The following is a 23,267-nucleotide window of genomic DNA, read 5'->3' on the forward strand; positions in this document are numbered from 1 at the left end:
TCCCAGCCCATGAAGTCAATGTGTTTTGGGGAAAGCCAAGCTCCGCCCCTAGCTAGTCAGCCCCAAGGTAAGCAGAGCATTCCTCTCCCTGGGCAGAATAATTGGTTCAGGGATGGACTCCTGATTCAATTGCAAGTCAATTAAATATGAGAAAAAGGTTTTTTTGTTTGTCTTTTGGGGACTTTCTTTTGTCACAATCTGGGACTGAAGCTTTTTGACCACAGAGAAGGAAGATCCAGAAGGAATCCTCTCTCCATATTTGAAACAAGTAGCAATGAAGCCATCTCTTAACCACAAGAGGGAGCCAATCCTTACGTTGAAGCTGACACCATGACAGTAGATAGAGATAGAAACTACGTTCTGGTTGTCCAACAGAAACTACTCTTCGTACACCTTTTTGATCTATAAACGGATAGTTTTCTAATTGATCTATGAAGACATTTTGAAAGCCCTTTCAAATGACTTGCTTTGGTTCAAAAGTACACACTGCTGCATTTCCCCTGGCTCCATAGTCCAATATATCTGTCAAAGAAGGAAATGAGGTTACTGTAATGATGACCCAACCAATTCCTCTTCTTGGAACTCCCGGAAATAAAGCTCACAGTTCAACAGTTTGCAGAATCTCCCTTCCTCCTTTTGAAAACTGGAATGGTAGGTAAAATGGCATTTACCCATATCTGATCTTTTAACATACTCCATGTTTGCTGAGATTACTCACCAATCTCATTTACAAGATTTTTTTTAAGATGTGGAAATATCGGCCGGGTGCGGTGGCTCACGCCTGTAATCCCAGCACTTTGGGAGGCCGAGGCGGGCGGATCACCTGAGGTCGGGAGTTTGAGACCAGCCTGACCAACATGGAGAAACCGCGTCTCTACTAAAAATACAAAATTAGCCAGGTGTGGTGGCGCATGCCTGTAATCCCAGCTACTCGGGAGGCTGAGACAGGAGAATTGCTTGAACCCGGGAGGCAGAGGTTGCGGTGAGCCGAGATCGTGCCATTGCACTCCAGCCCAGGCAACAAGAGCAGAACTCTGTCTCAAAAAAAAAAGTGGAAATATCATTTATAGAAAAATATGCATTTACAACACGGGGGTGTGCTTTACCCTCTCTTTACAATTTCTTTACCTGTTTGGGGTTCTCTCTTTCCCTTTGCCCAGTCGGAGCTCCTTGAAGCACAGTTCTAATTAAGGAAGCATTGTCATCATTTTCTTTCCTATATTAAATTAGATAGAAGTTTCTTTGTCCCAGAAAAAGTCCAGAGGTAGCTCACCCATGGTAGGTGTGGCAGTTTCATAGTCATCATAGTCAGCAATCTTTAGCATAAACCTCATGGTCCAACTGGCTAAGAGTGTCAAGGTTGTCCATATCCCAAGCAGCACGAAGGAGAAAGAGGTGCAGAAGAATGTGTTCTTCCCTTTAAAGGACTGCATTGGTTATCTTATGCTAGGTTATGCTGTGGCAACAAAGTCCAAAATAACAGAGGCTTACAACATATTTTTCTCACTCTCTTCACAAGTTGTCTGTGGGTTGGCTGAAACTCTATTCCACATTTTCTCCCATTTGGGAATTGTTATGGGCTAAATTTGTCACTCCAAAAATTCATACATTGATGTCCTAATACGTAGTAGCTCCGAATATAACTATATTTGGAGATGGGGTCTTTTAAAAGGTAATTAATTTCAAAATGATGTCATTAGAGTGGGTCCTAATCCAATATAACTGGTGACCTTATAAGAGGAAATTAGGACACAGACATGTGCAGTGTGAAGACAGGAGAAGACAGTCATCTATAAGCCAAGGAGAGACGCCTGGAACAGATCCTTCCCTCGTGGCTCTCAGAATGAACCAGCTCTGCAGACATTGTGATCTCTGACTTGTAGCCTCCAGAAATTGTGAGAAATAAATTTCTGTTGATTAAGCCACCCAGTCTGTGGTATTCTAACAGCCTTAGCAAACTAACACAGGGATCTAAACTAAAGAAGCAGGCTTAAGTCTCGTGGCAGAGGGAAGAGAACAATGGCTGATCTATGCAATTTCTCTTAAAGCTTCTGATTGTATGTGGCATTTGTCACCTGTTCTTCACATTCCATTGACCAAAGACAATTATATGACCAAACTCTACACTAATTGAGAAACAGAGTAGAATCTTCTTAGAGGGAAACACTGCAAGTCACATGGTTATGGGGATGGACATATAATTCTTTCACAGGTGGGCAGCAAATGGTAAAAACAATAATAACATTACCACAAAGACACTGTTCTGGTTATCTATTACTGTGCAGAAGCTATACCAAAACATAGTGGCTTTGATTTATTATTATTCCTCACAGTTGTGTGGATGGACTGGGTTCAACTGAACAATTGTCATTTGGGGGTCACTATAGTCAGATGGGGCTGTGTCATCTGAAGGCTCAATTGGGCTGTACATCTAAGATGCATCACTCACATGGCTAGGAGATGAAGCTGGCTGTCAGCCAGAAGCTCAGCTGGGACTCTAAACCTGAGCATCTGCACATGGCCTTTGCATGTAACTTGGGCTTCTCACAGCACAGCAGGTAGAATGCAGCCTTAGAACCTGACCAGATTCAAGGTGAGGGAGGTTAGACTGCATCTCTGGATGAATGACTTGCCAAAGGATGTTTGGCCATTTTTAACCCACCATTGGTCAGTCCAACTTCCACTATATCTCATTGGCCAGAAGCTAGACATTTGGTCCCATCTAGCATCAAGGGAGGCTGGGAAAATACTTTATGTAACGCAATCTTTTCATTTATTTGTTTGTTTATTTATTCACTTATGTAGCAGTGCCCTGCCAAAAACTGAGGTTCTGTTATTAAGGAGGAAGAAGTAAATGGACATTGGGATCAGCAATTAGGAGTCTTTGCCATTTCTTCTTTATATATATCCTTTTTATTCAGTGTTCTCTCTTAAAATAATCCCCATCCTCTCTAGAAACTCATCATTTTTTAAAATCATTTGTTTATTTAACAAAATAATAAATATGCAGTTTTTCAGTTAAATAATAGCCCCCAAAGGCTTATTATAAAAATTTTAAAATAACTATTTTAGACTTTTTTTTATAATTCTTCTTTCAACATTTATTTCAAAATTTCTAAACAGAACTCTTTATCTTTTGGAAAGACTTCCTATCCCATCCACTCATAAATTGCCCACAACTCAATTTCAGGAAAACCCATAGAACCCTTTGTATTTCTGGCAAGATCCTCCCATTCAACATCCCACTATGTATCTGCAGTCTCACATTTCACATCATATAGCAGATTATGCCCACGGTGGATGCCATGATAAGAACTGATTTTCATGTCCCCTTAAAGTGATCAGGACTACATGCATCATACATTGCATACCTGCCATCCCAGTCTCAACAAAGAGTCCACTCCCCAGAGTCATCTCTTACCACGTAGACTCTATCCCCATATGGGTTTGCACCTCCTCTAATCTGACGCAATCACCCCCCCCACATGACTCCCTAACACCTTGCCCTGTACCCTGAAGAACTCAAAATGCCCTATGCTGGTGACCTTCCCTCTGAAAGTTACCTTCACCTTCTTGTTCTAGCTGGAGTTTTCAGGTATCACTTCAAGGGCAGCCCTTTCAAGCAAGGACTGTTTTTATTCTCACATCCAACACTCAACAACTGTTGAAGATGGGCTAGGTTTCCCCTTGCTCCTTATTTCTACTGCCAAACTATTGTTTCCCCTCTACTCTAAAATTCCCCAGTTACCTGGAAGCATGTATTGTCAGAATAAATGACCAGATTAACCTGCCCTTGTTGCAATAATCTACTTTCCATTCATGTTGATGTCCTAGACAGCGTCATTCTCAACAACTATACTGACTCCAAAATTTCCATGTCAAGAGTCTCACTGAGCTCATCATCTTCTGTTTTTCTTGGGCATTCCTCCAACAATTCTGAGCCAATATGCTTCAACCACAGTGGAATCTCCCATTGACTGCCTCTTCCACTTTTCACTGTCTGTCATACTTCTACCACTGCCTCCTCACCCTGGTTAGACTCCACAATCCCCTACTGTAATGTTTCCCTTTCATATACCTTCGGTGTTTTTGTTCTTTTCTTCTTTTGTCCTCCAAACCCAGCAAGATCCCAGTACAACTATGTGTCTGCATTTAAGCAGCTGAACACGAAAGGAGAAATCCTCACAACCACACTGATGGCTCACTCATTAAATGTTTGTGCTAATTTCGGACGGGGCATCGGCACTGCCAGACAAGCCCTAGTCAACATTTTCTGACATAATTTGCTCTTCCACTCTCCAGGAGGCCTGTTTCACCATGTCTGCTTTCTCTGCAAAACTTCAATAACAACTACTCCCTATAACTCACTTTCAGCTTTTTTTTTTTTTTTTTTGGCTAAGAAAATAAAAACAAACCAAAAGGTAAACCGCAATGAGAACCCACCTCAAAATTTCATAGAAAAGACCATGAGTGTTCTGAATATCTAAAGGAAAAGTGGCCGGGTGCGGTGGCTCATGCCTGTAATCCCAGCACTTTGGGAGGCTGAGGCAGGCAGATCACCTGAGGTCAGGAGTTCTAGACTAGCCTGGCCAACATGGTTAAACCCCGTCTCTACCAAAAAATAAAAAAAGTACCCGGGTGTGATGGTGCGCATCTGTAGTCCCAGATACTGGGGAGGCTTAGGTGGGAGGATCACTTGAACCTGGGAGGCGGAGGTTGCAGTGAGCCGAGATTGTGCCACTGCACTCCAGCATGGGTGATAGAGTGAGACCCTGACTCAATAAATAAATAAATAAAGGAAAAGTAGGGAAACAGGTGGGAAAAGTATAGGCAGCATAAGCAATGGGCTTTACCTTCTTTCTATCTGTCTTCAAGGCCAGCTCTGATATCACTGTGGAGGACTGCCAGCCGGAGACCTCGCAGACATGGAAATTAACACCCATCGGAAGTCATAGCACCTGGATCTTAGTCTTGGTTCTGCCCATCTTACTGCTGCACAAATGTTACTGCCCTAACATGGAGGATTACCAACTTAATGAAAGGCTTAAAACTGCAGAGACATTATTTTCCTGATAAAATGGCATAATTGACTTCTATGCCTTATTTCTTTTAATGTATGCAAATGAATGGGAAAGTAGGAGTGGTTTAACTCTTCTGTAAATCTATTTGAACTCCTTTGGGGAAAGATGTAAATAAGCAGAGCTACATGTTCATTGTAAAGACACAGACGGGATGTTATCACCATTAGTAATAATTTAATTATATCAACTAATTGTTATTACCTTCTAATGCATTTATGTAAAGACAAATTTTGTCTTCTTGCTAGCTTTGCCAATAAAACAAAAGAATAATGCTATCCTAGCTGATAAGAATAATGACTTCACCTGTCAAAATAGATTTATATCTTGAGTCTCAGTCTCTGCAGCATGTTTTTGCCAGGAATATTCACTTGTCCTTTCTTTCTTTTTTTCTTTTTTTTTTTAAGGAAGATGACAGAGAGCAGGTTTCCACTACTCCTGAGCCTCCCTCTCCAATGATGCTCGGGGCAACAACCCTTCAAAATTAGGTACCAATCAGTGCCAATTCCTTTGATAACCATTGTAATAACATTAACACGATGAACTAATGAGATATTAATGTGGTTGTAGCAGAAATTTCCATAGGAGTTCCATTGTAATTGAGTAGGTTGATAATGTGCCTTAATCTGTGTTCGGCAAATGATGAATAGGGAGAGGCAAAATTCTGATGACTTCCAATTTGTAAGGTGCTTACTCTTTCAAAAAAGAAAAGAAATTCCTGTTTTTAAAAGCAGATACATATGTGAACATTTGAGAAATCTGAGCCCAGAGTGTCATAACCTCCTCAAGGCATCTCAAGGCATTTCATACATTTAAATTTCCAAATGGCAGTAGAATTGGGGAGTGAGTATTTAAGATCTCTATTTGACTTTTAGTCTATCAACACCTAGCAAATTATAATTACGGAAGGCAGAGCCTTGGAAATTCAGTGATGGTACAGTGAGTATTGCTTTTTTTTTGAGACAAAGTCCACTCTGTCATCCAGGCTGCTGGAGTGCAGTGGCGCCATCTCAGCTCACTGCAACCTCCGCCTCCCAGGCTCAAGCAATTCTCATGCTTCAGCCTCCCGAATAGCTGGGATTAGAGGCTTGTGCCACCATGCCTGGCAATTTTTTGTAGAGATGGGGTTTTGCCATGTTGGCCAGGCTGGTCTCGACCTCCAGGCCTCAAGTGATCCTCCCACCTTGGCCTCCCAAAATGCTGGGATTACAGGCATGAGCCACTGTACCTGGCAGTATTGCTTTTAAAGAAAAGAAATACCACACAGAGAGACATGTACACACAGACACACACAGAAGTATGCACAAATGTGCACACATACACACATGAGCATATGCATGTTCACTCACACACAGAAGAGCTCCTATTGTTTGGGAAAAATAAAAAAATAAGGTCAAGAGCCTAGAAAGAAATAAAAAGGGGCACGGTGATAGAAAAGAAAAAGCAAAAGCAAGATTGAAAAGCTGAGATATTCAGAGTCTTTCCATTGGTTTTAAGAGGATACCTGTAAATAGCCCTGGTTTGAACTCTGCTGAAAGAGACAGGAAAGAACGAGGCCTTTGTATGATTATTTATTCCAGCAAACAACAGCACACGGCAACTCAGAGCCTTGCTATTCCCTCAGCTAATATTTGGAAGACATTGTATCTCAAGGGCAAATTCTAAGTGTTCTTCCTCTCTCTAAAGTAAAGAGGAAAGGGGAAAAAATTGGAGGCTTCCATCATCCAAGGATAAAAAAGAAAATACTGATGAAATTCCACATTGGACATTGTATGAGGAAGATAAAAAATTAAGGAAAGAGTGTGATGATAAGCTTTGCTTAGCAAATACAAATGAAGGCTATGTAAACCCATGTGATTTTTTTTTTAAGGCAGACTATTGTTAAATTAACTGGCAGCATTTCAACATCTCCTTAACAGTAAATGTTGCTGCCAATTCTTTTCATATTTTTACCCCCTCTATGCAAGACCCTCTTCCTTAAACTGCTCCTAATAGTCTCAGTTCTGAACACAAAGAGGCAGTAGCCTGAGAATTCTCTAGCTTCCTCTGATCTTTCCCAATTCCATTTCCAGCTGATATTTAAATGGCCCCATTTCTCTGCTTCTCTTGGAAGAAGTGACTTTCTTAGTGTGACTCAGCACCATGTGTTTGCCTGGAGGCCAGCTTCCAGGGCGTTCACTTTTCTACCTCATTACAGCCAACCTGTAGTTACTAGAGGGAATTATTTAGAATCTGGATTATTCTCCTTCTCCACCTCTATTTTCACCCAGCATTTCTCTACCTGCCAGTGGCCTTACCAAAATTTTTTATCTGCCTGTAAATTTGACAATGGTAAGAGTTTTCAAAATAAAAGCTTTTAGGCTATGAAGCGGCAGACCATGTAGGATAAAGACCATCATCTTGGGATTCAGGAGGGAGGGCCTGTTTGCAAATTCTGGTTTCTCCACTTAGTATCTTTGTGACCTACCACTTAACCTCTCTGCATTTCAGCTTCCTCATCTATAAAAATGGAGACAACAAAATCAAAGGTTGTACAAGATGTAAATGAGACAACCTACGAGAAGTACAGAGCATGCTGCCAAGAACTTTGCACACTTGTTGAGTGAGTTTCCCTTCCCCTTTCAAGCAAATGTATTTCCATATAGCAGGCACTTTTTCCCCCATGACACTGAATAATAGTTCGGAACATAAAATGTCAAGTTTTACTCATTTTACCCCGAAGTCTAAAAAAGGCAGAGGTAAGGAACGAAGCCGTTTTCTCTGCATCTCCCACTCAGCCCTAAGTGGCTAAGAAACTGAGTGAGGAAGTGAAGAGGGAACAGTAGTCACATCTGTAGTGTTCATTGCTGACTTTTAACATTTTGAGGGCATGTTCCTGAGACAGTATCTACAGCTGTTGGAAAGGTCTCTCTACTAGTCTGCCCTCTCCCCCAGTTTCAAACCACTCCACCAAAATCTTCCTTCATTAGATTTTTGTTGGAAGATTCGGAAACCCATGTTTTCCTGGTTATCCTTCATGATCTTCTGTAATCCCTCAGTTAGCTTACTTCCTGAGACAGTGACCATATATTAACTTAGTGGTTGATTTGCCCATTTAATTCATATTTAATGAGTAATTTTCACATGGTAGCTCTGTGCTAGGCATGAGTGATTCAAAGAAAAAAGCCAAGGTTGCAGCCTCGAAGGAGCTTACTATGTAGTGGGAGAGAAAGGTGAATAAACACATCATTACTATGGACAGAGGTATTGCGGGAGCACAGGAAAGGGGAGATGAGCCCTACTGTCTTCGGGGATGGAGGTTTGGAAGAGGATGGGAAGGATACAAAGAAGAATCTAGTTTTGTCGTTTCCGGAGGAACTGGCACCTCAGAGAATTGATCATAATAAAGAAGAGTTACCATTCCCAGTAAGTTCCTCTCTTTATCACCACTCTCAACCATCTTTTGTTTTGAAAAAATATGGTGTGTTATATTGGGTCCTCCAAAAAGCAGATACCAAAACAGAATGAATGTGCAAAAAAACTTATTGGGGAAGCCACTTGTGAGAAAAAACTGGGAGGAAACAGGAGGAAGCTGGGAGAGCTGTCAGATCTTAATGGAGGTCTGACTCCTGTGAGGAGAGAGAAAAGGAGGCCGAGCCAGGTTTGCAAGAGACCTGGACTGCCATGCAGTTCTAGGGAAATTTTAGCAAGATCAATGCATAGTTATGGAGCTTCAGTTGCCTGTCACAGCAGTCCCCATCCCCCAGAATGGGCCTGCCTTAGCATCTCTGCCACACTCGGTCAATAGCAGGGAACAGCCAGGGGAAGTGTGCCTTGGCATGAACGTGGTGGTGAACTTCCGCGTGCAGTAGCTTGGGGCTTTCGGTTAATTACATTCCTTGGGCTGAGCACAGTGGCTCATGCCTGTAATCACAATACTTTGGGAGGCTGAGGCAGGAAGATTGCTTGAGCCCAGGAGTTTGAGACCAGTCTGGGCAACATAGCAAAACTCCATCTCTACAAAAAAAAAAAAAAAAAAAAGTAAAGAAAAATGCTCCCTAAAGTCAAACATCCAAGAGGTACACATACATGGTTTTCACATTTGTTCTATGCTTCTTAAAAATTATTCATTATTTGGTCTACATTTCTTAAAAATTATTCATTATTAATTCCTTTTCCCATTTAGAAATGCAATATATAATGAAATATGAGCTATCAAAACAAATATTGACTTGTTTAATTATATGCCTATAATTTGAAAACATATAGCCTATGCTTTCAAAATATTAGAAATAACTGCAAAATACCCATTTCTACTGTATTAACCTGCTAGAGCTCCCTTAACAAAATGCCACAGTCTAGGAGGCTTAAACAACAGAAATTTATTTCTCACAGTTCCAGAGACTGGAAGTCCAAGATCAAGGTGCCAATAGGGTTGGTTTCTCCTGTGGTCTCTCTCCTTGGCTTGCAGACGGCCACCTTCTACGTGGCCTTTCTCTGTGTGCACACATCCCTGGTGTTTTTCTCTCTTTTTATGGGCTGCCAGTCATGCTGGACTAGGAACCCACCCTTATGACCTCATTTAACCCTGATCACCACTTTAAAGTCCCTGTCTCCTGTTACATTGGGGCTTAGGGCTTTAAAATACAAATTTTGGGCTGGGCGCAGTGGCTCATGACTGCAATTCCAGCACTTTGGGAGGCTAAGGCAGGCGGGTCACTTGAGGTCAGGAGTTCAAGACCAGCTTGGCCAACATGGGGAAACCCCATGTCTACCAAAAATACAAAAAAAATAAAACTAGCCAATGTGGTGGCACACACCTGTAATCCCAGCTACTCAGGAAGCTGAGGCAGGAGAATCGCTTGAACCTGGGAGGCAGAGGTTGCAATGAGCCAAGATTGTGCCACTGCACTCCAGCCTGGGCAGTAGAGCAAGACTCTGTCTCAAAAATAAATAAATAAATAAATAAAAATATGAATTTTGAGAAGACATAATTCAGTCCCTAACACCTACCTTGCATGATTTCAATAATTCCCAGATTTTTCACAGTCTATGATGGGAACTCCTGCCTTGAAATGTGTGCAGGGAATAAGAAGAGATAAAGAAGACCAAATCGAGGGGCACTGCTTTGGGAAAGTCTCCAAAGAAGGAGTGGGGGAGGAAGAGGAGGAGGGAAAGGAGGGGTGGTAGGGAGAAGAAGAAAACGACACAACTTAGCTTGTATATTTTCTCTGTCACTGTTAGCAGAGATTCCATATTTATTATTTATCAGAGATAACTAAATAATGGATAATTGTATCCTTCTCTTGTATTAGTAAGCATTGGGATAACCATAGTCCACATGGCCAGAATATGCAGCATTCTGATTTCTGTCCCCGCCATTGACTAATATGGTCATTTTGAATATTACAATTTTCTTCTATTTTTAGAGGAAATCAAATATTGCATAATAAACTGTAGCAAAAACAAAACTATGTTATGCTTCTCAGCAATTATAAATAACCAGATCAACCCTAATCAAATTGAGGGAGCATTTAGAGTCTACTGAGTCCATTAGCTGTGGTGTAAGGTAAACAGAATAAAAAGAATATTCTTAACAAGAGACACAGGTCCTTGCTAGCTCTGACTATACCCTCCTCTGAATGGACATGGTGATGCGCAGCACCTGGGGACCCTCAGGTGGTTAGACCTGGGGTGGATTCCTAACCCAAGATTTGCCTAACCTTATATTAGTCAAGGAAAGGTCATTGTTCCCACATCCTCGCAGCAACCAGGCCCATAAGGTCCATTTGTTAGCACTACTTCCTGACAGATGCAGCAAAACCTCATAAGAACCCCTTCTCTTTTCTTGGGCTGGCTGCTGTAAGGTTTTCTTTCTGCAATCAAGGGAACTATCACTACTAATTTGGGGTTCAGCACTCTAGTTCGGCTGTGCCTTTCAATGTCATCAAATCTAGGAAAACACTCCAATGCCTGAATGTCCCTCAATCTAGTGTCTCTAGTAACAAAAAGGATTTTTTGTTGACGTTCTGTTTATTAGACATTATGTGACTTTTTTATTACTGTTATTCCATATTCAAAGTGTGTGAGGCATCAGTCAGTACTGAATCACCTTAACATGGTATCTCCATTTGCAAAGCATTTGTCTTGGCATCTGCAGATGGATTTACCTATAAATAATAAAACATACCTTGAGTTAAAGAAAAACTCCAGTTGATATTGCTTAGCAGGAAAAAGAAAACAAAGAACCAATAGATGAGTTTTCAAATCAGGGTTCTTCCCAGTCATTGTGAAGCTCAATCAAAGGATGCTGAATACAGAAGAGGAAAGAACCCAGAGCTAGAAATCAGGAGGCCTAGACACTGTGCCAGATCACTCAGCAAATAACTCTGTGTCCTCAGGCACTTGCCCATCAGCCCTTGCAGTTTCTTTACCTCTCTGAGCATAACAACAGCTACCTGAGCTATTGACAGGGTCCTTATGGGGAGTCAGCAACAATGGATGCACAGCGGTGACTCAGTAATTAGAATGCAACATGAACAATAGGTTTTTTTAAAATGTTGTATTATCTACTGGTCTAAGTACAAGTCTGCCTTGATTATTTCAAAGTAATGCTTATGCTTCCATTTTAAAATATAAGAATGTGACATTTGAAATATATGGAAATGTCCTTTTATCTAATGCCTCCACTTCGACATGCAGAATCTACTCCTGGGAACCAGCAAATGCAGTCAGCTTGGTGTTCCTGACCTCAGGCCTGACATGGACATGAGTTAGATGTGACTCGGACATGACGACTGACATCAATTTTCCATTCTCATCCACAGCCCCACTTCCTCTCTTCCTATTTCAATCTTAAGTGTCATGTAGATAGAAAGTAAATCTTACTTTATATTATGCACCCTGTGCTCAAAAAACACTAGGTATTCCACAATAAATATTGATGAACAGTTTTCAAGTCAATGAGTAAAACTGCCCTAAAAATTATTCCTTTTTATTCACTGACTATACTACTGCAACACGAATTTTCTCTTCCCCTCATTTTTATTTAGGAATCCTCATAAAACTTTAAAAATATGTTTATAATTTTAGTCCTCCAATTTGATTTAAGTTATTGAGGTCAGGAGATTTATCTTTTTTTATATTTTCTCCGTGGATTTTAATGTAGCAGCTCAGCTGCTCAATAAACAGTGGTTGCTTGGCTAAATATTCAGTGCAACAACTGACAATTCATTTTTGAAAAAGAGCGTATATCAGTTGTGTCATGAATTGACTGATCAACTCTTCAATCTTTTAATACCCAAATAAACTCTTCTTCTCATTTTTGAGGAACAGTAGTTTGAATTAAATATGTCTATATAGGACAGTAGGAAAGTCCTAATGAATGAATGAAATATGTCCATATAGGACATTAGGAAAGGTTGTTAATTCTTAACCTTTTTATTCATATTTTATACTATTTTATTACTTACCATATATCCTGAAAGTCTTCTTTATTTTAATGGGGAAAAAGATAGCAAAAGAATGTGTAAGAGACGCTTTTGGGAAAAGAAGATAAATCAAATTGGAAGTTTTCTAGTATGAAAATGTTTCTCTTAAAAAAAAAAAAAGCAATCACAAAATAAAACAAGTCAGCATTCTCAATGCTGGAAAATGACAGTGACTAAAAAAGTCTTTCCGCCTGTGTGAGCACTGTCCTCTGTCCCATCCCTAGTGCTGGGTAATGCAGAGATATAATTTATCATGGATTCACAAACAAAATGGTCAATGGTTCAGCACAAACCAAACATGAGCAGACACATTTCTAAATCCAACCGTCATGCTGCTTACACAATCTGTTGATCCATTGAACAAATATATGTTGAAAGATTAAGCGGGAGTTGACTGCCATTCAGGAAGATAAATGTAGAGTAGACTCATTTTCCGCCTGACTTAATGCTTAAGAATTTGTATTAGAAGGATGTTGGGGAGGGCAATGTCTGCGGGGGGATAGGGGGAATGGAAATTCCAGTCACCCAGATCTTTAGAATGAGATTATCTCGCTAAGGACCTCACACAGAGGCCTTTGCCAGCCATCTTTCACACCCTGGACTGTCCTTTCCCCTTACTCTTTTATTGTGGGAAAAAAAAAAAAAATTCAAGAAAATAAACTAGTGCTGCAGGAGCGCTTGCCTTACCTATTCAGGCCTTGTTGATGGAATGATAGGAGACGGATTGTCTTATACAGTTCAGTTTGAGATTTCAACGGGGAGAAAAGAGTCAGGCTGTCATAAAGGCACATTGTTATCCAGCTGTCTCAGAAAAGGTCTGTGAGCCATTAAGCTATAGAGAGAATTGAAAGCCTGAAGCTGGAAACGCGGTGTCCCTGCTGGTAGGGCCAGTGCCATCCCCAGGCAGAGAACAGGGCCAACCTTGATTCAACTCATCTTGTTGACACCTTCCTCAATTGGGGTATGAGGCCAGTCTTGTGGAGTTGCGTTTGTTATCTTCGCTGGGCTGAAAAAGACAGCCCTTCACTGCTGTTGATCTTGTTATAAGTGTTTGAGCTTCACATCAGAGCTTTGTTAGAAAGAAATGGAAGAGGGCATAGAGGAGGAAGAGGGGAAGGAAGAAGGAAAGGAAAGAAAGGAAGGGAGCAAGGAAGGAAGGAAAAAGGAAAAGAGAACAAAAGAGAAAGAACAACCATTTGTACAACATAAGAGGGATTTTCTTGATTTGTAAACCTGGGACATGGCCACAATACAATAATGCAACCATGCAGCTTCCTTGTTTAGCAAGCTGTGAACAATTTTTAGAGCCATCCAACAACTCTGGCCTGGTCAGGAATGCATTCAAACAGAAAACCACTGAGCACTGCAAAAAGAGATGGATCTTGACCTACCAGAGTACGTGCGCCAATAAATGCACTGGAAAGCAATTCACTTTGATTCAACATTTATTGAGCGTCCGTATGGGTCATGACACAGGAGCAGAAACCACACAAACTTACAAAAGACATGGTTTTTGCCCTTGCAAAGTACTTATGCCAACAAAGACCATGTGGACGTGTACAGAATGTTGTGTAGCTGTCCAGGAGAGATATGTTTCCTTTTGTATTGAAGAGTAAGTTGAATCTTCTAAGTTGGGAATAATTTTAGGCAAGTGCTAGATTTACACAGTGCTGTGAAGAAGCGAAGAGAGATGAGCATGGAAAGTTTCATATATATGGGGTAGACATAAAGGCCAAAGAAGAAACAGTATTCAAAGTAAGCTAAGAACATCTTTATTTGCCAAGCAAAGCGATGAGTTTGTAAATCAAGTAGGTGTTGGGTAAAAATGACTGATGAAAGGTCTTGAAATTATTTTTAGCCAGTCATATGAGACCTTGTTTTTCACTTTTAAATGCATCTAGTGTAAGATGAAGAGTGGCTAAGACATACATGGATGCGCATAATTCTCTAAATCAGATCTCTTTCGGTTGTTCTTTTTAACTTTTAATTTTGTTTTTTCTCTTGAAATTTCCTACCCTGACTCATCACAGTCTCCAAGTTGAAGAAGTTAATGACCAACATATTCTAGCCCTCTGTATCAATTTCTTGTTGTCTTTTTATTTCACCGGAAAATTCTGTTGAGATTTTAAATGATGCCACGCAACAGCTGGGTATGGGCCACTTCTTTACCATAACATCCCCATCTTCTCCTCAATGCCACCATTATTAGCTTTATCCTTCACGAACACTTGACTTCCAAATAAAACTAACTATCTAATAGCATAAGTCTCAGTCAAGTTTTAACTTTTGGACCTGTGGGTCTGCAGCTCATTTTATTCCATTGTATTTTAAGCAAACATCATTGACTTTCTTTTTTTCCACAGGTTTTTGGGGGAACAGGTGATGTTTGGTTACATGAATAAGTTAACCAATAATAATAAGAGTTGATTTCTGAGATTTTGGTGCACCCATCACCTAAGCAGCATACACTGTACCCAATTTATAGTCTTTTATCCCTCACCCCCCTCCCACCCTTTCCCCCTAGTCCCCAAAGTCCATTGTTTCATTCTTATGCCTTTGCATCCTCATAGCTTAGCTTCCCCTTATGAGTGAGAGCATATGATCAAACATCATTGACTTTCAATGCTTAATCTTAAGCATCTGATCTTTCCTCTTCTTGGATAGCTAGTACTTAGCAAGCCAAAACTTTATAAAAATAGGAAAGAAAAAAAAACAGTGAATTCACTGGAAATGGTTTGCAATGTAAAGAAAATATGACCATCTGGATTAAATTACTGTAGGTTATGGACTGAGCTGTCTGTTTGGCTTGGTTTGGGGTGAAGGGAAGTTACACTGTATCTAACAGTGCAGTGTCAGAGAGTACCATTCTATGAGCAGCTTTTGTCTTCAGGTAAGACTACCCCATTGGATAAGCAAATCTGTGTGAATTTTGCACATGATGAAGGTTGGAAAGCATTCCTAGATATATTCGCACAGCTTCCTAAATCTCTTTCTCCTCTGCCCTGGGGTACACAGGGAACATAAGGATTATGTTACCCTCTCACCAGCTCCAGTCGCCTCAGGTCCAGGTGAGCAGCTTTGTCTTCAAATACCTCCATAAGTGAGTATAAGCTAGCTGATAGCAGAGCCTAATCAGAGAGCCTTTTTATCCAAGAAGGGCAGGAACTGGTACACGCTCTCCTGATTGACTTGTGGCTGTCCAGGGAAGGAAACAGGGTGGATGTGGGCTCAATGGTACTTTGGCAGGAGGTAATACTAGCCTAGACACCCCTCAATGAAGGAAGACAGGAGGACTAAATTGTCATTGGAGGATTTCAAGGAGAGAAAAGTTAATGATTCTGCCACAAATTCTATTCTGAACTGAAAGAAGTAATTCTGTTTTTATCCCCTAAATCTAAGAGAAATTCTTCCAGAATAGCAAAACTAATGGTAGCCAAAGCTAATGGAGTGTTCTAAAAGTGTTTTATTCTTTCTCAGTGAAGCTCCATGTGTATGATGACACTTTCAGAAAGAGCTAAATGCTATTTTGCCAAAATTAAAAGCATAGTTAGAAAATCTACTCCAAATACAATGGTCTGCTGGGTTTGAAATATTGCTCCAGAGACGAGCCCCATGGTGCTGGAGAATACCTGAATCAGCAGAAGGTGGGAGGGAGCATGAAGACTGTATTTATTATGTCTTGAGACGACTCCATAGGTCACTGCTGAGTTCTGTTTACACTGCGCTGACCCTTCACACTCCAGAGCAGTTTGTTCAGCTGTGATCTACAACCAAGAATACATTCAGTATGTCATCTGCTAGGCCCTACTCCAGCCAACCGATCTACCAAGAATAGAGACAGTATATACACTGAGAAACGTCCATTATCCTGCAGTTCTATGAATTGTCTGTTTTCTCCCTTTGCGCTTTTGTACTAATAAAAATTTGTATGTCTTGGGACACCAATGTAAAGCATGATCCTAATAGAATGGATCTTAACAAAGTGATTATTTCCACTGTACGTTGTGGTAATTGGAAAATGAGCCTGTGGAAACAGTCCTATATCTAGGTCATTATTTCACCTATCCCAATTAGGATGTGTTCAAATACTAAAGTGCAATATAACACTTTTTGTAATGGCCTGTGCCAGCTCTTTTGCAAGGGGCTATTTGAGGTCACCAAGCTGTGATAGAAAAGAAACCACATCAGATCTCTGAGGCTGACATCTACATTCTGACTTACGGCGGGTCTGTTTTTTGAATTTGGAGCTTCCTGATCAGTTTATCCACTCATTCAAAAGCAGAAGATTCCTCTACACTCCCACAAGAAATGTGTTTGTGATTTCTTTAAGGCCAAAAACAGTCTCACACACATAATATAAACAATAATTATATGGTGTTTGTTTCCCAGACAAAACTCCAATTCCAGGGACCTGACTACCTCTGTCACTACATTCTTGAGCTACAAGATTAGCTCATGTGGGGTCTTTTTTTTTTTTTTTTTTTTTTTTTTTTTGAGACGGAGTCTCGCTCTGTCACCCAGGCTGGAGTGCAGTGGCGTGATCTCGGCTCACTGCAAACTCTGCCTCCTGGGTTCACGCCATTCTCCTGCCTCAGCCTCCAAAGTAGCTGGGACTACAGGCGCCAGCCACAACGCCCAGCAATTTTTTTGTATTTTTAGTAAAGACGGGGTTTCACCGTGCCAGCCAGGATGGTCTCGATCTCCTGACTTTGTGATCCACCCGCCTTGGGCTCCCAAAGTGCTGGGATTACAGGAGGGAGCCACCGCGCCCCTCTCATGTGGGGGGTCTCTTAAAGGGGAACTCCCACATACAGATTAACCTCCTCTAGACACCTTCTACATCTGCCCCACCCCCCTGTTCACGTAGCACCTTGTGCTTCCACTTGCCATGGCACTAACACACTGCACAGCCACCCCACACAACCAGCTATTTTAAGGCAGGATCTTACTCATCTGTGGAGCCCCAGTGCCTCCCACAGTGCCTGACACACAGTTGGCACTCAATTAACATGTGCTCTATGAATGAATGAAACAAAGTTCAGGACACCAGTCATGATATTTTAAGTCTGGTGCAAGCCCACAGTGTCATATGAGATGAGAAGGCCCGTCTCCTTCATCAACAGGTGTTCTGTCTGTTCTTCCTTCTCCAGTCACTGGGTGCTGTTCTGAAGCCGAGTGAGAGACCCGTGTTGTACAGCTGTATGCTCAGTGACTGATCTAGTGCGTCAGCTTCTCTGAATTGTAAGGACTTCAGGGGCAGGGACCACGCTATATTTATCTTGGATCCCCTATCACTGTTTATAGCAAGTGCTTGATGGATGTGTCTTAAATAAATCTGATCTTTTAATCTATAAAACATTATTAGACAGTATGTTTTATGCAATGGAATGAATGGGCCCTCTTAAAATTTATATGTTGAGAGGTGGGGCACGATGGCTCATGCCAGTAATCCCAGCACTTTGGGAGGCCGAGGCGGGTGGATCGCCTGAGGTCAGGAGTTCGAGACCAGCCTGGCCAACATGGTGAAACCCTGTCTCTACTAAAAATACAAAAATTAGCCAGGCGTGGTGGCACATGCTTGTAATCCCAGCTGCTCAGGAGGCTGAGACAGGAGAATCTCTTGAACCTGGGAGGACGTTGCAGTGACCCAAGATCGAACCACTGCATTCCAGCCTGGGTGACAGAGATGAGACTCCGTCTAAAAAAAAAAAAAAAAAATCATATGTTGAAATCCTAACCCCTAATGTAGTGGTATCAGAAGGTGGGGACACTGAGAGGTAATTAAGTCATGAGGGTTAAACCTCATGAATGGGATTAGTACACATATGAAAGGGACTCCAGAGAGCTCTTACACCCTTCTTCTACCATTTGAAGATATAAGGAGAAGATGACAGTCTACAACTGAGAAGACAGCCCTCGTCAGAACCTGTCTATGCTCATACCCTGATCTTGGACTTCCATCCTCCAGAACTGTAAGAAATAAGTTCCTGTTGTTTATAAGCCACCCAATCTGTGGTACTTTTTTATAGAAGCCCAAACTAACTAAGATACCTTATAATACAAATGACTGAGAATTCACAATATATTCTTGACTGGAGAAGTGAACAGTGATTCTTCTACTTTTTAAAACTCGGCCAGGTGCAGTGGCTCACACCTGTAATCCCAGCACTTTGGGAGGCCAAGGCAGGCAGATCACCTGAGGTCGGGAGTTTGAGACCAGCCTGGCCAACATGGTGAAACCCTGTCTCTACTAAAAATACAAAAATTAGCCGGGCATGGTGGTGGGTGCCTGTAATCCCAGCTACCCAGAAGGCTGAGGCAGGAGAATCGCTGGAACCCGGGAGGCAGAGGCTGCAGTGAGCCAAGATCGTGCCACTGCACTCTCGCCTGAGTGACAGCAAGGCTATCTCAAAAATAAACAAATAAATAAATAAAAGCCCACTGGTGACATGGCTCTGTGGCCCTAGATTTCTCCAAAAGAAAGAAAGAGTGAGATAGAGAGAGCAGGAGAGAAAAAAAGGGGGAGAAATGTGAGAGGAGGGAAGAAAATGAAGAGGAGAGGTTTTTCAAAAAGAAAGAAAGGAAAGACAAATAAATAAAAGAAACCCCATAGCTCCATGTCTAACATGAAGAATGGTGGGATAATAAAGGAAGTAATGTTGATGAATATAAAGTGATCAAGTAAGCACTATTTTTTGAAGATGAGACAAAACAGGATTTAGAATTCTATTTCCAGCAACATGGCAGACTAATCCCTCCGGGCATAACTAAAATGCTGTATAAAATATTTAAAATGTCATTGGAATGCATGGCTTGGCTGGCAGGAAAATATATGGATGGATAGGAGGCCAGAGATGAAAAGTGTGAATCTAGAAAGATAAGCAAGCAGTAGAGAAGGCATTGAAGAGCCCTCAAGTGGCCTGTAGCTCATATTTTACTGGGCTACATCCAGTACAAGTTGGGGCTCTAGCAAAGAAACAGGTCGGATTAAAGAGCTTTGGCATAAAACTGGTTCCTCCAAATATATACATTCTCAGAGTGTAGGGGAAAATTATTCCACACACTGCAGAGGGTAATGTTTGGCATTTATGCTTCTGTTGACGTTGGCTTTGGATTTGAGTGAAGTAAAAAAATAAAAAAAAATTATACTGTCCCATTAAGGATTTCTAAACACAAGCCTTATTTGTGTGAGTTTGATGTCAGAATTTTCGTTGTCTGCATGACTCCAAAAAAAAAAACACACATACTAAAAAACAATGTTTTCTTTAAGTGGTCCAGCCGTCACATCCACATGCTATGAAGTTGTACACACCAATTCTGGCCAGAACTTAGTCACATGACCATGCTTAGCTATGAAGGATGCTGGAAAAAGTAGTCTTTATTATGAGTTCCAAGGTTCTATTTATGAAGAGAAACTGAAGAATGAATATTGAGGGTGGGGAGTGAGAGTAAGCTCCGCCTTGATCTTCAAATCCTGAGACAACTCCCAAAGAGAGAATTAAGGCAATACTTTCTCCTTGGACATCTTTTTGTTTGTTTTTATGAGATTTATTGTGGAATAAATCAGTTTTGTTTTGTTTCAACTTTTCTTTTCTTTTCTTTTCTTTTTTGAGACAGAGTCTCTGTTGCCCAGGCTGGAGTGCAGTGGCCTGATCTCGGCTCACTACAAGCTCCACCTCCCAGGTTCACGCCATTCTCCTGCCTCAGCCTCCCGAGTAGCTGGGACTACAGGCGCCCGCCACCACATCCAGCTAATTTTTTTGTATTTTTAGTAGAGACAGGGTTTCACCGAGTTAGCCAGGATGGTCTCCATCTCCTGACCTCGTGATCCACCGGCCTCAGCCTCCCAAAGTGCTGGGATTACAGATGTGAGCCACGGCGCCCAGCCTCGTTTCAACTTTTCATTTAAAAAGTATAAAAATAGGCCAGGCACGGTGGCTCACGCCTGTAATCCCAGCACTTTGGGAGGCCGAGGCGAGTGGATCACGAAGTCAGGAGTTCGAGACAGCTTGGCCAACATGGTGAAACCCCATCTCTACTAAAAGTAAAAAAATTACCCTGGCGTGTTGCCGCGCACCTGTAATCCCAGCTACTCGGGAGCCTAAGGCAGGAGAATTGTTGGAACCCGGGAGGCAGAAGTTGCAGTGAGCCGAAGTTGCGCCACTGCACTCTAGCCTGGGCGACAGAGCAAGACTCTGTGAAAAAAAAAAAAAAAAAAAAGTATAAAAATATAATATTTGAAATTGAGAATCAATTTGTTAAATAATAGGAAAAAGGAAAGAAGAATTCAAGAGCAAGAAATTACATAAAGTGCAATTAAGTTAAAGTTCTATGTCTAGGAGAACTTGCAGTCCCTAGGGTAGACAAAGCTGATCAGAACTGAAGCAGCCTTACTATTTCTTCTCTATTTCCTTCATTTTGCTCCTCATAACACAAGTTTCCTCAAAAGAGTGTAATGGTAAAGCCCCCCTGCAAAGCTAGAAAAACAGAGAAGTAACTGAATGGTTTCCTTTTAATGGAATGTTGTTTTTTGTTCTTTTTTGTTTTTTTAGGTGTCTGACCAAAGCATAGGAAATTGCAAAGTTAAACTTTTTAAACTTTTTAAAAGGGATATTTTCTACAATCAGATAACATCTTTTAAAAACAGACACACAAGCTGGGCAAAGTGGCGTAGGCCTATAGTCCCAGCTACTCAGGAAGTTGGGGTGAGGAATCACTGAGCCCAGGAGCTTGAGACCACCCTGGGCAACATAGTGAGACCCCATATCTAAGAAAATCATAATTATTATTATAATAAAATTAAATTTAAAATTATTTAATTCATTCAAAAAATAAAAACACATACAGATAGCTAATGCTCTAAATTTCTTGGTGGAAGGCAATTGTAAGTTTCTCTTTATAGGATTAGCTATACAGTATAAAAAAAAAAATCAGAGCACCAAATCTGAAAGTCCACAAGAAGGGCCTATGTAATTTCTCAGAAATAAGGAAGATATTTTATTTTTGTGTAGTGCTTCAGCTAATCTACAAAAAAAAAAAAAAAAGTTAAAACTTGCTGTTGGGCAATTATCAAAATGACAATGACTGGCGGGAATGATTGTCTTGGCTAAGGCAAGAGTGGACTAAATCACTGGCTGATTTGGGGTGCAAAGAGGGAACCTCCTGTTGAAGTCTCTCAGACATTCACACGATTCTTTCACACTTGTACATACACCTGTAGACACACACCTGAATGTGAGTCACAACAACCCACTATATGAGCACAAAAGATTGCTGAATGATTCAGCCCTATTATCTGAAACTTCAGATTTCAGATCTATACTTAGTCCATGAAAATGGACAGCAATAAATCTTTATTTATTTATTTATTTATTTATTGAGACAGAGTCTTGCTCTGTCACCCAGGCTGGAGTGCGGTGGCAAGATCTCGGCTCACTGCAAGCTCCGTCTCCCGGGTTCATGCCATTCTCCTGCCTTAGCCTCCCAAGTAGCTGGGACTGCAGGCACCTGCCACCACACCCGGCTAATTTTTTGTATTTTTAGTAGAGACAGGGTTTCACCGTGTTAGCCAGGATGGTCTCGATCTCCTGATCTCGTGATCCACCCGCCTCGGCCTCCCAAAGTGCTGGGATTACAGGCATGAGCCACCGCGCCCGGCCATGGACAGCAATAAATCTATCATAATATAGTACTGCAAGCGGGAAGAAAGCAAACAAGAAAGGCTCTGCTAGAAATGGGCTGCTTTTTGAAGGGTAGATATGATCGATATATTTTTATGTACATTTTAACTGAATCGAGATTTATTTAAGTTTATTCTTTGGAGCAGATCCTGCAGCAATCCTCTGCACTCCAGTCATCTTTCTTTTTCCTCTATTTTTGAGACTCCCTGGATCTGTGATAGTAAGGCACCAAAATGTAGAATTTATCCAATGGGCTTAACTTTCTGAAGGATTGGGATTATGAAAAATATTAAATATTAAAGATATTTCACTAAGTCATGACTTGATACGGGTATATTTTTGAGGATTGTTTTCCATTCAATTTATAGATCCATATAAAAAGGCTTTAACCAAATAGGGTTTTATTGACCTCATGTAAGAAGTCCAAGAGTAGGCCATATTATTATTATTATTATTATTATTATTATTATTCTTCTTCTTCTAAGATGGAGTTTCGCTCCTGTTGCCCAGGCTGGAGTGCAATGGTGTGATCTCGGCTCACCACAATCTCCGCCTCCCGGGTTCAAGCAATTCTCCCGCCTCAGCCTCCTGAGTAGCTGGGATTACAGGTATGTGCCAACATGCCCGGCTAATTTTGTATTTTCAGTAGAGACAGGTTTCTCCATGTTGATCAGGCTGGTCTGGAACTCCCAACCTCAGGTGATCCGCCCACCTCGGCCTCCCAAAGTGCTGGGATTACAGGCATGAGCCACCGTGCTCGCCCTAAGCCATTTTATTCTATTTCTATCTTTTTTGTCTGCCTTCTTTAGCATTTTGCTATCATCCTCGGGGTCTCATGATAGTAGCTATTCCTCTGGGCATCACGTCCACATTCCAGGCAGGAAGAAGAAAAAAGTGACAAAGAGGAAAAGGGTGTGACAATATCAGGAAAGCAAAACTTCCCTAGATATCCCTATAGAATTCAACTTATGCCTCACTGGCCAGAAGTGAGAGAAAAGCTGCAGGGAAGGCTGGGAAATGGGCTGTTTTTAGTAGACACA

General features: G+C 41.2%; 1 annotated feature.

Annotated features, from left to right (window-relative positions):
* Positions 327–1,526: an enhancer, noted in NCBI's record as "BRD4-independent group 4 enhancer chr9:84138078-84139277 (GRCh37/hg19 assembly coordinates)". NCBI's record gives its function as "activates an origin of replication core promoter dependent on BRD2, P300/CBP, MED14 and CDK7 cofactors, and independent of BRD4, by STARR-seq in HCT116 cells {active_cell/tissue: HCT116}" and the evidence as "EXISTENCE:reporter gene assay evidence [ECO:0000049][PMID:35650434]".

This window comes from Homo sapiens, chromosome 9 (assembly GCF_000001405.40).
Source record: "Homo sapiens chromosome 9, GRCh38.p14 Primary Assembly".
Taxonomy (NCBI): Eukaryota; Metazoa; Chordata; class Mammalia; order Primates; family Hominidae; genus Homo; species Homo sapiens.